The sequence below is a fragment of the Homo sapiens genome, chromosome 8, assembly GCF_000001405.40.
Source record: "Homo sapiens chromosome 8, GRCh38.p14 Primary Assembly".
NCBI classification, from domain to species: domain Eukaryota; kingdom Metazoa; phylum Chordata; class Mammalia; order Primates; family Hominidae; genus Homo; species Homo sapiens.
In genome coordinates this window covers 127,390,219-127,404,880 of record NC_000008.11, presented here as the reverse complement: position 1 = coordinate 127,404,880, position 14,662 = coordinate 127,390,219, and the positions used below count along the sequence as shown (strand labels likewise).

Below are 14,662 nucleotides of genomic sequence, written 5' to 3'. Positions count from 1 at the left end.
ACTCATGAAATGTTCTCAGAGTTATTTTGCAATTAGGGTAGATGTCACTCAAGGCTGGATCTGCACAGGGAAAGCCTAATCCAAATAAATAGTTGATGGGGTGAGGATATTGCCACCACATAATATCCCTATTTTATGGAGAATATTATTCCTGCATTTCATTGATGAGGAAACTGATGTAAAGAGAGGGTAAATAATTCATGGCTTTGTGGTCACCCACCCTCTAATGATCTCAAATGAGCTTAGATTTTCACAAGATGGACACAAAGGGGTGAGAGGCAGAGAACTGTTCTTTGGTTCCATTCCCTGCTTCCCTTAGATCTGCTGCTTGATTTCCATTCCATCTGGCTAGTGCCTATTTTCATGTCAGTTTTATAATGTGTGGATTCTTGGCCCAGCTTAAGAACTGTTGAGCCATATGCATGCTGGGCTGGCAGATCCAGGAAGGAGGAACTCTACTCAGATATTTACCCTCCAACTTTGTGCACAGACACAGTTGCTTGTGGAATGTGGATGGGAAATTCCTGATGGAGATATCCGTGCTGGCTTGAGCCGTCCAGTTAGAACCAACATTTAAAGCCACCTGAAGTTCAAAAAGTTCAGACAAAGCTGGTTTAAAGAAATCAGAGATAACATACTTTTTTTCCTAGGCAAAGAAAGGGAAACATTTTCTGTATAACTTCCTGCTCTTATATGGCTTCTTCATTCACCATGTATTGAATGCCTAATGAATGTCCAGCTGAGTTCTGGGGCATGGAGATAAAAATGTCTGTTTTCATGTCACTGAGGAACTTACTAGCAGTCTAGTGAAAAGGACACAGATGATTGCAATACGGTGTGATTAGCACTATAATTGGTGGGCATATAGGATTTTTCTGGAGAACAGAGGAAGCAGGAAGGAGGGGAAGTAGAGTAGCAATTCTTGAGTGGTACTGAGTAGCAATGCTGTGCTGTTGTTATATATGTTCTTGTTTAATCTTCCATCACTGCTGGAGGGACAGTATACTTTTCCCTTGATTCTCAGAAAAGTAAAGCAATCTTCCCAGGGTCCCAAACCTAGGACTAAGGGCTCTTACCAAAGTTGCATCTGCAGGGTTCTAAGGCAGTGGTTCTTTTCACCCGGCCTTGCTGGAGGGCTGCGATCATGTTCTTCACATGTAGGCTGTGTGCTGAAGGGAGACTTGGAATGTACCAGCCTGAGAGGAATGAAGGACATTCCAGGAAGCACGAGTCTAAGCCTTGAGAAGTCAAAGAGTCCAGGGATCATGGGATCATTTAAAAATGACCAGCCCTTTTTATGTCTAAAGAGAGGGTCAGAAAGAAGGGGTGATAGAGGGAACTAGCAATGCAGGTGGTGTCAGCTTTTTATATGACATAATGTCGTTTTTGTGGTAGAAAACAGGCTATCAATTTGGAATTTTCATTTGTTTGCTTTGTGTTAGCAATTTACTTTTTAGATTTTCTTCCTAACATTTAACAAACTGAAGTATATAATGAATGCCCGCAGGCCAATGGGAGCAAGAGAGGCAATAAAAGAGGAGAAGGCACCCCAGATTTGGATTCATAGACTAGCCTTGTTTCTTTGATCCACCTACATAAACTTCAGGCTGTTATTTGACTCCTTTGAGGTTTACTGTCCTCACTTGTGCAGTGGTGGCAATTTTTTTAGTCTTACTAATCAAGCCTGGGTATCAAACACCATCATAGATATGGGCTCGTCACGTGAACTCTAATGTGTTGGGCAAACACTAGTTTCTCAGCTTTGGGCATAATAATAGCATACAGAATCAAAGGAGCACTCTTCTCCTTGATTGGATTTCAACCAGAAAAAGAATAAAAATTGCTTTTGTGTCTCATCCTTGTTTTATCTGCAACGGCTTTGCCAAAGTTTTTCTTCTGTTCCTCAGGCCAGTTGTAAATGGCCTTGTGCATCCTTTGAAAGAAGACCAGGCCGGGGAAGCCAAACTGGTTCTGATGTGGGAGAATCACTTGAAATAGAGGGACAGATATGAACTTGTATGTGCCTCTCTTGTCCTGTGAAGAAGGTATGAATATCCCCGGTTCATAGATAAGGAAACTGAGACTCAGCGATGAAGTCATGTATCTGATATCACATGATGAGCAAGTCCTAGAGCCAGAGGCGAGCCTGGATCTCCTGGGTTCCAATGAGTGTGTTCTTTCCACTCCTTTCTGTTGCCTGCAGCAAAAAAGCTCCTTTGAGCAAACTGATAGGACCGTCAGCTAAGTTCAAGCCAGAGTTGAGGCGGAAGTCAACACAGGGCTATGAATGTTCTAGCTAAGACTTTGTGGAGGCTTTTACCAGCCAATCTTCAGAATAAAACCCCCAACCAGAGCCAGATGAGATCAACCTAGGCTGTAATGAACTAACAACTTCCAGAGTGAGAATGCCTCTCTTGTTGGCTCCAGTAGACAGCAGGAAAGCAAGTCAGACATGAGGAACGAGAAAGCCACTGAGAGAAGATTTTGCTACTTGGACCATTTCCTGGAATATTACTGTCAAATAAGTAAAAGCCTGATAACGTTTTCAGGTGCGTGTGTGTATACAGTTTTAGAGAAAGTCTTATTAAAGAATATCAGATTCAAGACTCATACAAGAAATGCCTTCCGTTTGGCGAGACAATACTTGCAGCCGGGGGGTGCTTTCACTGTTGGAGGTGTCTGCAGGTAGTGCACCTGTCCAGTGGGAATGCTCTGTCAAGATGCACTAGTGTCTTCTGGGCTGATGTTGCCCACGGCTCTCTTCCCAGAGTAGAACAGGGGAAGCTGAACACCTGCAGGATATCTTGGGAATGACATTCAAAAAGCTACAGCTGTCCCAGCTGAGCCAGGAGCCTGGCAAGCACTTGGAGCACACATTATTTATGTAAGCAATCTCTGTCAGCGCCACATCTGGGGATAAAGGATCAAACCCCAACAAATTTAATTAAGGCTCTTCACGTAGATGAAATTGAGATGCTAGACTAGGCAATTTGTAATGGTTAGAAAATGCCCTTCTAAGCTTCATCTAATGCATTGGCTTTTTGGCATCTCCCAGAGAAAGCTCTCACCAGATACACCCCAGAGAGATGACACCTTTTAGAAGTTCAGGGACCACATAAATGTTGGTGATGGATGTTTTCCTCAGGGATGATTATGGCTCTTTAGTCTAATAGCTCTCCTATTCATACCATATTAAGGGCTTAATATGAACTGAAATGGTGCTGCTGGTAGCTTTAAAAGCTGACGTAAACTTAAGGGCTCTTTAGAAAACATAATATCCATGGGAAAATAGATGGCATAAAACCATAAACAAAACACAGCTCACCAATGCATTGATATAGGCCAAACTGGTATTACAGCCTGCTGGGAAAGTGGGCTCATTCCTTGTACATTTGTACATTTTGGGGGTAGGTCAGGAATCAGGAGACACAGAATGCCTTCTTGTTGGGACTTGCTGGTAGAACTTACGTAGGGCATGCCAAACCCTTCCCTTATTAACTATTTGACTCTTCCTACAGGCCCAAACATATTACCTGGGCAGTTGAGAAACGAGAACAGTTGTGGGACAAAGAACACATTGTTAAATTGCAGAGTTGCACAGTTATTGCCTGGAGCACCAGGTTAAAGGAAACTGAACTGTGGGGTTGGCTGGCACTGTCTGTATACACAGCCCAGTCTAAGGCCCCAATCCTGAGAAACTTGCTGGGTTCCTGCCCTTTGATTCAGAGAAAGCAGCTTTCCAGCTGGGGCCGGCTCCCTCCCCCACATAAAATAAAATAAAGTCAATAGCACATAAAAATTCTTTGTACTTTTCTCAGTGCCTTTCATCTGCTGAGCTCAAAGGACGATGAGGGTATTAACTCTGGCTACACCTCTTAGTGGTAGGAGGAGAGTTTATTCGTCCCTCTGTTTTATGGATAGGGAGCTGAGATAGGAAGAGGTTAAGCAATTTGACCAGGGTCAGGCAATTGGTCAGAGGTGGAGCTGGAAGGGAAATCAGGTTTTCTAATTCCCAGTCTAGTGCCCTCTGCAGGCTCTATGGAGCGATGCAGCTGCTAAAAAATGCTGGAGGGCTGTGGAAGTGGAATCATGCAATAAGAGCAGGAAAAGAAGCTTGTAATCATTTGGACGACGCCTTCATTTCCCAGATGCAGAGAACGAGGCTGGGAAAGTTGATGGTGATTTTTCCAAATTCAAATAGGTAGTTAATTACAGAGTAGAGTCTAGAATTTTGGCTCTTGACTTCCAGTCCAAGGTGGTTTCCTCTTAGCTCTTGGGGAGTCTCTGTTGATACCTCCCTCTTGGTGTCTATACCAGTTTTGCAAACTTTAGCATACCTAGCAATTTAATTGGTGTTCAAGAAATGTCTGATGATCATTTGGTAGTCTCATACTAGCTTTCTTCTTCTCTGAATTTGTATTCATTTTTCAGCAATCAGGTCAAGACCCAGAACATCCAGGAAAGTCCACCTGATCACCTCGGAATTGCTAGGGCCTCCATTATTTGAATCCCACATTTGGCCCTGGAATCAGGGATTATTTCCTACTACAAGTCTTCTCTGTCCCTCCTCTTTACTATTCAACCTGGCAGGCTATGTTTCTATAACCCTTTGTACCTAACTCTGTTCCAGCATAAGAAACATTTGGCTATAATCCTTGATGTACTTTTATGTCCTCTCCACAAGACCCTTTATATAAATTGAATCATATAACATTAAAACAATGCTGAGTTGCAAATTTAAACACTTTCTTTTAACAAATGAAGGAAAAGAGGGTTGAAATAATTTTTCCAAGGTTTCATTGCTAGTGAATCACATAGGAGGCAAGCCTTTTAAACTGAAATTTTGTGCTGTCTCTTTTGAGGGCATAAAGCATTTTTTCCACAGCTCTCTCTTCTTCACAGGAACTAGAATGATGGTGATCACTTATGACGTTGTGGTTGGTTTGAAAGGAAGTGGCTCGAAACCCATCCTCTGCCACTATTGGTGATGAACCGTAATTTTTGTTGTATCTGCCTTCTATGTCCACACATGTGGGTGAATGTGTGTGTTCCATACCTCCACAAATCCTTTCATCTAGTCAAATATGTCTTTAAATTTCTGCGTTTATTGTAAAGTACATAAGACAGTGATTATACTTCGGAAGATTTTTCCAACTGCCCCTTTTCCCATGAGATTCTAACATGCCCTCCAAATTCTTTTCTAGTTGAGGATCACTGGGAAGAGTTGTATTACTTCAAGTAACCCTAACTGATATAACAAATAAATTCCATATACATAAAGGCTCACACTTATCAGAAATTTCTTTCTTGTTCAATTTAACAGTTCTGAAGATGGCTGAATATGTTGTTGGGTGATTCTGCTCCATGTGCTCATTGAGGGACCTAGGCTGACAGAACTAAGTCATCTTTAACATCTGCTTCTAAGATTGCTATGGTGATTTTAATCTCAGCTAGCCAAAAGGGCAAAGGGGCTTGAAGAAGCACATGTTGGAGATTCCAGGGCCAGACCTGGAAGTCACATGTCTCAAAAGTCACATCACTATATTTTAACTCTAAGGAGATTGGGAAATAATATAATTCAGGTATGTACCCAGGAAGAGAAGAATAAATTTGTTCAGAGCTCAGATCACTGATATCATCTCATTATAATGCCTATGTTGGTAGCAACATTTTCGTTCATTCACTTTTTCAGTCAATTTTTTTTGCTAATAAACTTGGCTATTAATTGAGAGGTTATTGTGTGTTAGGCATGATAGTTATGAAACAGGCGGAAGCAGACAAAGTACTTGCCTTCAGGGAGCTCATGGACATATACAAAAACAGTCATAATTCAAATACTTACATAAATCAATGTACACTTACATTTCTGCAGGTGCTGGTTTTGAAAGAGAGGCATATGGTGTGATGAGACCTTATAACAAAAGCTTGTGACTTAGCCTGGGTGAGTCAGGGGTGATTTTCCTGAAGATGTGTTTTCTGAACAGAAATCTGAAGAAGAAATAGGAGTTAACCAATTGGTTGAAGGGTGAGAGCCAGGAAAAAAATTCATTGCCAGTTCCAAATAAAATTGTGTCTAACACGCAAGACAATTTCTGTACTGAGAAGGGGATTTAGGGATGCTACGAACACATAATTTAATTTAGTCTGGTGATCATTTAGTCTTGAATGACACCAACTGCCTGTCTTCACTCAACTAGTGGCTTTGACAGTGACCAGGGATGAGGTCGTCCAGATGTGGACAATCCACCTGAGTTAGGAGTGGATGAGCAATCAATCTACCTGACCGACTACCTGAGCATGATGTCAATAGACCTTCTTTGGTTCAGAGGAGTTCCTGCTTTGGCTACAGCAATAATGCTCAGCTGAGGATTGTTAGGAATCTCTGGTATACTGAAGGTTAATCAAATATGTTACTGCCTGGCCTCAGGCTGTTCTGCTACCTGAATCAATAGAGAAAGTCTTCAGTTTGCTCTTCTTGTGTGTGTGTGTTTGCCATGGTGCTCTGGTTGTGTCAATATTCACTATACTACGTTGTGTTGTAGCATGTCAGGACAATATCCTACAATAACAGGGTACAGGAAGCCTGGCACAATACAAGGGAAAAGTAAGCATGAGAAAAAGAGGAAGATGCACAAAGTCATTTATCTGCAAGATAATGAGCAGGTTAGACATTTTTATTTTTGGAAGCTGCTTGTTTCCCAGGGCTAACACCCTGCAGGTAGCAGAGCCCCATGTACTGTTTAAAATGAGGTGTGATCCTATCATGACTATAACTTGATGTATATGTTTTAATGGCATATCCTGCCAAGAAGGATATTAATGAGCTATTGCACCATTTGTTCTGCTGTTGCTTATACACAAATGCTGAGTCCAAATGAGATTCCTTGGGGGTTTGAGATTAAGGCTGGAAAAGAATTACTCACATAAGCTGATTTTGTGGAACACGTTCTGTGATGGGAGTAACAAAGTTTATTTAAAAAGCGCAGTTGGTCAGACTACCTTTTCTACAGATGGATTTAGTCTAAACTAGTGAAATATTAATAACATTTAATTTTCCTGGCTTTCATCTCTCTATCTATGAATTGAGAGCATTTGAGACTTTTGAAGTCTGCTGACCAAAAACAGACGAGGAGCCCCTTTCTAACTGTTGAGTGTGCATAGATGTTTTGAAGGTGCTGGTCAGGCAGAGTGAGAGCCAAAGGTCTGCCCTTGGCTTCTGAAATCTTGGCTTTTAGCTCTTCCCTTCCCTTGGTGGTAGACCTAGATTTTTTTCTCCTCAGAAGCTCTTTTCTAGGCAAGACATGAAATCAGAACCCCTCAGTTTTACTCACTTGTAATTTGTTTACACTCACTCTAAACAAAGCAATAATATCCATGAAAAGATAGGTTTGAAAGGCTAGAAACTTAGTACTAACACACGTTGAAGTACGCAATTATTACAATTTAAAATATCCTTCTGCACACTATGGTCAAATGCCTCCTGGGGCATGGTGGCCACTCTTTGGGAAACACTGTGCTAAAGGAATCAGCAAAAATGTGTCTGGAATAGTGAAAGTGATTCCTTTTCATAGTTGTAAATATATTCCAGTGGAACATTTGACAACTGAAGTAACTCCATGGCCTCAATTCACTTCTTTCTTTCTTTCCTCCCTCCTTCTTTTTCTTGCTTTCTTTCCTTTTTCTGGGCTTTCTTCTCTCTGTCCTCCCCTTTTCACTGATTTCCTTGTAGTTGCCAAGAACAATGCCACATTTATCATCACCATAGACCTTGAGATTAGTTTCTTGTCTGCTTCTTGAGGGCAGGGACCATATGATATCACATTTATCATCACCATAGACTTTCAGGTTAGTTTCTTGTCTGCTTCTTGAGGGCAGGGACTATGCTTGAGCTACATGGTATCCTCAGAAGCTGCCGCAATGCCTAGCCCAGGGAAGGACTTCAGAAAAGCTATGCTAGGTGCATAGACACTGTCCCTGAAGTCACAGCACTCTGGACTTACTAGGAGAAACGGACTGTAAACCACAAGTGGGAAATGCTGGGATCTGGGCATGCACAGGCTCCAGTGGTGAGACAAATCGGTGAGGAGTGGTCTTTGGTGCCTTTATGAAGGAGACTTGAGCTCCATCATGAAGAATGAACAGGTGAAAGAGAAGGACGTTCAAGGTAAGAAATAGCAGGAAAGCCTGAAAGGGAAAGACGAGTTTAAGGGTTATGAAAAACTTGGTTTGGAAGGTGAAGGTAGGACTGGGTAGAAAATAAGAACAACAACAACAATAATAGCAAATACTTTAGCATAGTTGGCACTTACAGTGTGCCACTTACTATTTTAAGCACTTCATAAGTACCACCTTCCTTAATCCTCACAACCACCTTGTGAGGCTGAGTATTATGAGGATCCCTATTTCATGAGTGAAGGATGGAAATGATACCAGGTTGCCCAGGTAGAATGGCAAAGCTGGTGGGTTCATAGAAGCACCCTGACTTCAGGTTCTGTCTTCTTGAGGACTGTGTTTCCCGGATCAGAAAACAAGAGTGGAAAGATAAAAAAAGGTGGTGTGTACAGAGAACTAAATATCTAATGGCGCAATTGCAGAGACTGGGGTGTAGGTTGGTGGTGATGGTAAAATTTCATGATGGGAAAGGTGTCATTGGGTAGGTAGCCACTCACCTTGCTCACTCCTCAGAATAGCTTGGAATGGCTAAGTGGTTTTTTTGCCAGGTGGTGGAGGCAGGTTCACATTCACAGCAAACATTCACAGGCACTTCCTATGTGCCAATCAGTGAGTTAAGTATACAGAAAAGTATATAATGCTCTCCTGCCCTTGAGGTTGATACAATCTTTGCCTTAGAAAGGAAACAGACAAGCAGGCAGTGATTTCTCAAAGTGATACAAGTCATGGTCATTTCATAAAACCATGGTGGGTGGGGATACAGAAGACAGAACCTGCTTGGAACATGTGTGTGCATGCGTGTGTCTGTCTTAGGCAAAGCTTCACAGAGGACACACCGAGGAGGCTGAATCTGGAAAGGTGAATGAGAGTTTGATAGAAGAGGAATAGAAGCGTTTCTGGCAAAGAGAACGCTGTGAGAAGGCAGTGTTGTAAGAGGGCAGGAAGTGTTTGGGAAAGAGAAGTTTAGTTTGGCTGTGCGTCCAGAATGATGGCTGGCACACAGTGGATGCTTCATGGTTTTGAATGAATGAGTGAAAAGATAAATGAATGACATCAGTGGTGGAGGAGGTTAAGGGGGATTATTGATGAAGGTCCTGGTAGGCATGGCCATAGAGGGTGGTCTTTATCTTGTAGGCAATGGGAGCCCATTGTGTTTTCTGAACAAAGGAAAAATATAATCAGATTTATGGATTAGAAAAGTCATTGTTGCAGCTGTTTTGAGAGTGGAATTGAAGTGGTGAACTTTGCAGTGGTCCAAGTAAAAGAGGCAGTGGGGATCAAGAGGAGGGAAAAGATTGGAAACACACTTGTGGGGAAGAATTTAAAGGAGAGCAGGGAAGACAGAGGGTGAGGGAGGGGTGGAAGTCACAAGCATTGGTTGTAAATCATGGCCCAAAGCATTTGACACTTGACCCAGTGTCTTACATATGGACCCGTGGGAAACAAAGTCTTCCACTGGGCTTATTCTGTGTCATGTGTCACCACTTGTCTATCAAACAGGAAGCCTTAATTGGAGATGAAGATTTAGAAAAGGGGCAAAGTCAGTATTGACAAAATACCAAGAAATTGGCAGCATATGTGTGTGTATGTGTGTGCATGTGTGTGTTTCAGGTTGGAATACTTAAGAAATGTATTTTGGCAGAAGTGGAGGAACAAGGAGTCTGGGGAAATAAAGCTCTTTTTTACCAGAACTTACTCAGTGCTGGAGCACATTTATAGGAAAGTGAAGTTCCTATGGAGAGAACAGGGGCCTCTTTCTCAGATGTCTTGCTCCATTCAGCTTGCTGGGTTTTGGCAGTAGGTGGGGAAGGGCTAATAGTGGGAAGGGGAGCATTTGTGGGATCAGAGCCTTCACTATCGATTAAACGTGGTCCATTGCTCTCATATTTTTACTATCCCCATGTGTCCTTCCTTTCAAACTTGCAGCTACAAGCAGCAAAAGGAAATTGGAGCCCGTGTGATTTTTGCCTCACTGGTTTGAGCTTTGACTTTATTTATGCCTTTAATTTTCCATTTAGCAGATAATTGTTGCTTTGCATTCTGTTTCATGAAACGTCCTGGAATTGAAATTAGATTCTGCCCTTGGATATGCATCTCTGATTCCTGTTGACAGTCCCCATGATATCATCCTTTAAGCTGAGCTCTTTTCAAAGGAGATCAAGCTTCCACACATGGAGTTTCTCTCTCTCCTTTCTTTTCCATTGCAGGGCTCCTTTGGAACCACTGCAAATGGTTCACCAGTCACTTCCAGTCTTGATCCTTTAACACCTGGCTAAATTTTCAAGCAGTCAGCCACGAGGAAGACTTCTATAGGAGAAGAAACGTGGGCTTTGGGTTGGCCACCTTGCTCTTCCACTTGAGTGTGAAGTGACATTGGGAAATTACTTAACCATTATGGCCTCTGTAAAACGGGAATAAAAAGCAACTTATTCCAAAGATCATTGCAGTTATTTAAAATGTGATGCCTAAATAATGAAAACATGCCTAGAACCTCGTGTACAGTTAGTAAATATTACTTATTGTCAATTTTATAACTTTTTTATTTACAAGGGCTTCAGACAAAGGAGAGGGTATTGGGGGCTTGGTATTTTCATGAAAGATTTTTTGGAAGTTGCTTTTCTGCAAATATTGAATTAAAACAAGACTTCTTCAGAGAAGAGAAACTTCATTTAGATCTTGAAGGATGAAAAGATTTGGCTGGACAGAGATGACTCCTTGGCTTGGACTGACATATCGAAGGCTCTGCCTGGCCACTGGGTGCTGAGAGGTGTCAGTTGTATGTCTGTTCTCCTGTGGAAAATAATTGCTGCTGCCATTGCTATGCAGCTTATGGTGCTCTTCTGAGTGAGGCTTGCAGGACTGAGGCTACACTTCCATCTTTACCTACACCGCCTCCTTCGTCTCTCATCACATAGCTTCTCTTGATATGTGTCTCCCCATCTTCTCTCAGTGGGCCCAAACACTAAATTCTTGGGCCTTAAAATGTGGATATGAATTGTGTAGCTCATTTTTGCCATCCATTAGTGTTGCTGAATGTTTTTTGTTTTTTGAGATGGAATCTCACCGTTACCCAGGCTGGAGTGCAGTGGTACCATCTTGGCTCACTGCAACCTCCGCCTCCCGGGTTCAAGTGATTCTCCTGCCTCAGCCTCCCAAGTAGCTGGGATTACAGGCGTCTGCCACCATGCCCAGCTAATTTTTGTATTTTTACTAGAGACAGGGTTTCACCCTGTTGGCCAGGCTGGCCTCGAACTCCTGACCTCAGATGATCCACCCGCCTCGGCCTCCCCAAGTGCTGGGATTACAGGCATGAGCCACCGTGCCCAGCCTGAATGGTTTTTAAATTGTTCCCTCCCTCTCTCCTTTCCTCATTTCCTATATCCCTTCTTCCCTCCTTCCCTTTCATCCTTTCTGTTATGATGATCGTTTGAATACAGTGACCACAACTGGCTTTAAATTCCAACTCTGCCACTTATAAACCACAAGCAAAATTTTCATATCTCCAAACATCTGTTTCCTTCTCTGTAAAATGAGAAAAATAATTATATACATAGGAATCTCAGGATGATTAAATGTACTAATACATGTCAGGGCATCCTTCAGCATTTCTGACCTAGAATAAAAGCTCAATAAATGCCTTTTTTAGTTACTATTCAACAAGCATTTGTTTGATGAAAAAATATATATGTATATTTTAGACACACATATATACACGTATGCACACAAACATTATATAAATACATATAAATATAATTAGAAGAGTGCAGAAGACAATTTGGAGTAGCTGAGACCATTGAGGTCCCCAGGCAAGAAGCTCCAGAGAACAGAACCTCCATGGGTTTGCTCATCCTGTGCCCTCCCCTGGAATGACATTTTTACTGATACTATTTCTTTTAAAAATGCTATGGATCCTGTAGGGCCTCAGTTAGCCTTACCACATTGGCTAAGCCTTTCCTCCTGCCACTCCTTCTCACCACAGTGCCCAGTACAGTGCCTGCAAGCAACAGAAATCTAATACAGATTCCCACAACTGCATACATTGAGACAAAAATTCAAACTCTGCCACTTATAAACTAGTTGTCAAATTATGGAAGACTTTATTTCATCACATCAGTTAAAAGGCCAACAGGAACCACATCTCCGGCATTTGCTAGTAGAACTCAGCCAATGCTGTCCCACTCTGTATAAGGAATGTGATGGTTCAGCTGAAAGAACAATCAAAGAGACCTTATAAGTAAGTGGTGAGATCAGTTCAAAATCAATAGGGAATAACCCACATTTTGTGTGAATTAATTTATAATCATAAATAAGATATATTCCATATGTAGGAAATAGTCCCTTTTCTGCTTTGTTCGCTGCTGTATCCTTTGTGGACTGCACAGCCTTCAGCACTCAATGGGCTGTAATAAATACTAGGAAACGAGTGAATGAAGGAATGAATGGGTAGCTGAAGGAAAATAAGCTGACTTAAACTGCTACAATTTATTGAGTGCTTATTTGCATGCCAGAAACTTAACATACATTATTTAACCTGAAAAACATTATGGTAGACTCTGTTATTATTTTCATTTTTCCCAATGAGGAAATTAAAGTTTAGAGAAGTTTGATCCCTATGCCAAGGCCACACAACCAGGTCTGGTGGTTTTAACCATCAGAATACACAATTAAATGCCTTGTTTTAATCTCACCAAATGGTAAAATAAAAAATTAAAACTTTAACATTGTAATTTAATCTGAAACTGATTAAAATCTCCAGTGGTTCCTCAATCAGGTGGGATACGGTTTCATATTCCATAGGGCTCTGCCTCAGTTTCTCCATTTGTAAAGTGGAAATGATGAAGCCTGCATTCTCTCTGGGAGGTTACGAGATTTAATTAGGGCAATGGTTATAAAGATGCTTTGAAGTCAGGAAGTGCTTATTAATATCAGGGCTCATGACTGTGTTTCCAAATAGGATATCCTTGTCTTTAAAGCCAAGTGCCTGGGATGAGCCCCAAAGGCCCCCCAGAGGGAATGGTAGGAAACATTAGCCTTGGATGCCTAATTCAGCCCATATGGTTTTGCAGCAATTCCATAAGTAAAGAGGAGACTGAATGATCCCATCTCTTTAACGTTCAAGTGTGGGAACATTAAGAGTTTGCTCCTTAATGATAATAACATTCAGGAATGTTGGCACCTTTTCTTCCTGACTTCACGTTATGAAACTCGGGGAGTGTTGAGTAACAGGATGTACGTTCATGCCATTTTCAGTTTCTTTGGGGGTTCATTTTGGGAAACCTTCCTTCAAGCAAGAGCTTCAGTGGTTAGACACGGAACGGCCCTTTAACCTCAGGGCTATTGCCTCCAATGTGGTGTAAAGGTCCTAGTTTGTGGAGTAACAGTTGGATCCTGTTCCTCATCAGTTAGGAGTCATTGTTTGCAAATGTGTTCCCCGATGGAAAAGGATTAGATCCTGGACAGTAGAGAACATTATGTTCATATTGCAAAATCTTGGTACAATCTAGTCTTGGGCTGATGGGAGATTTGATGAAGCATTCTTCTTCTTCTTGGCTGAAAATGTCATCGTAGGGCTCGGTACACTGCCGTATCCGGTCCCTTTCCCCTGACACACTCCCATGCACACTGCAAGGCAAAAATTAAATAAATCTTTTTGATTCTGTTAGAGTTGCCCCAGGGCTATGGGAGGACCACAGGACTCAGATCAGAAAACTGATTTTGCCTTGCTAATGTGTTACTTGAACAGGTTGTTTTAAATCTGTAGCCTAAATTTTCTTATCTGATTTGGTAGCCCTAATATGTGATACTTTTTGTCACCCAGGGTTTTCATAATTATCAAATGAGTCTATATGTCTGCTTCTATCTGTCTACTGATCAATAAAGAAATGGGATGCAGTCTAGCATGATGGCTGTGATGTGGATTTAAATGCTGTGTGGACTTGGGAAAGTTACTTAACCTTCATAAGCCTCAGTTTCTTCCTCTGAAAAAGAGAGATAAAAATGGCAATACCTGTCTCAGAATGTTGCAAAAATTAAATGAGATGATCTATGTTGAAGGACATAGCACAAAACTTGGCACATGATAAGCTTTTGATAAATATTAGCTATGGTCATTATCCTTATTGTTAGGAGAATGATTTTAAAAATTACAAGATTCTATACATACAGAAAGTATTATTATTGGTTAAATAATTTGCTCTCTGTCTGGGTAAAAAGCAATTCTGAGGCTTAGCAATTGTTTCTTGGAAAAATGAATTATTCACCAGGTTATTGGCTTCAGCACATTTCATCCTCAGCAGGAACAAGAGAAGTGCAAAATCTGCTGGCTGCAGCTGTGGCCCACTTACAGGGGTGTACTTGAAGAAACTCAGCTCAGTGAGAACCTGATTGCAATTGTTTCTTGTGAGGTCAATGTCTTTTGCAGATTAGGATCAATGTTGAAAAGATGCCTGGGAAGTGAATCTTCACATATTGAAAGCTCTCTTCTTACTTT

General features: G+C 41.5%; 3 long non-coding RNA genes across 3 annotated transcripts in view; 1 reads left to right on the top strand and 2 right to left on the bottom strand.

The window, feature by feature from the left end:
• Window positions 1–14,662, top strand: part of CASC8 (cancer susceptibility 8) — a 192,464-nt gene that overhangs the window by 77,259 nt on the left and 100,543 nt on the right. The gene's annotated exons all lie outside the window — the stretch shown is intronic.
• On the bottom strand, window positions 2,731–4,482 carry CCAT2 (colon cancer associated transcript 2). The gene has a single exon (NR_109834.1). It is a non-coding gene; the product is annotated as a colon cancer associated transcript 2 (long non-coding RNA).
• Window positions 12,250–14,662, bottom strand: part of CASC21 (cancer susceptibility 21) — a 147,995-nt gene continuing 145,582 nt past the window's right edge. The window contains exon 4 of the long non-coding RNA NR_117099.1: window positions 12,250–12,377. This is a non-coding gene — a long non-coding RNA (cancer susceptibility 21). The remainder of the gene's footprint in view (window positions 12,378–14,662) is intronic.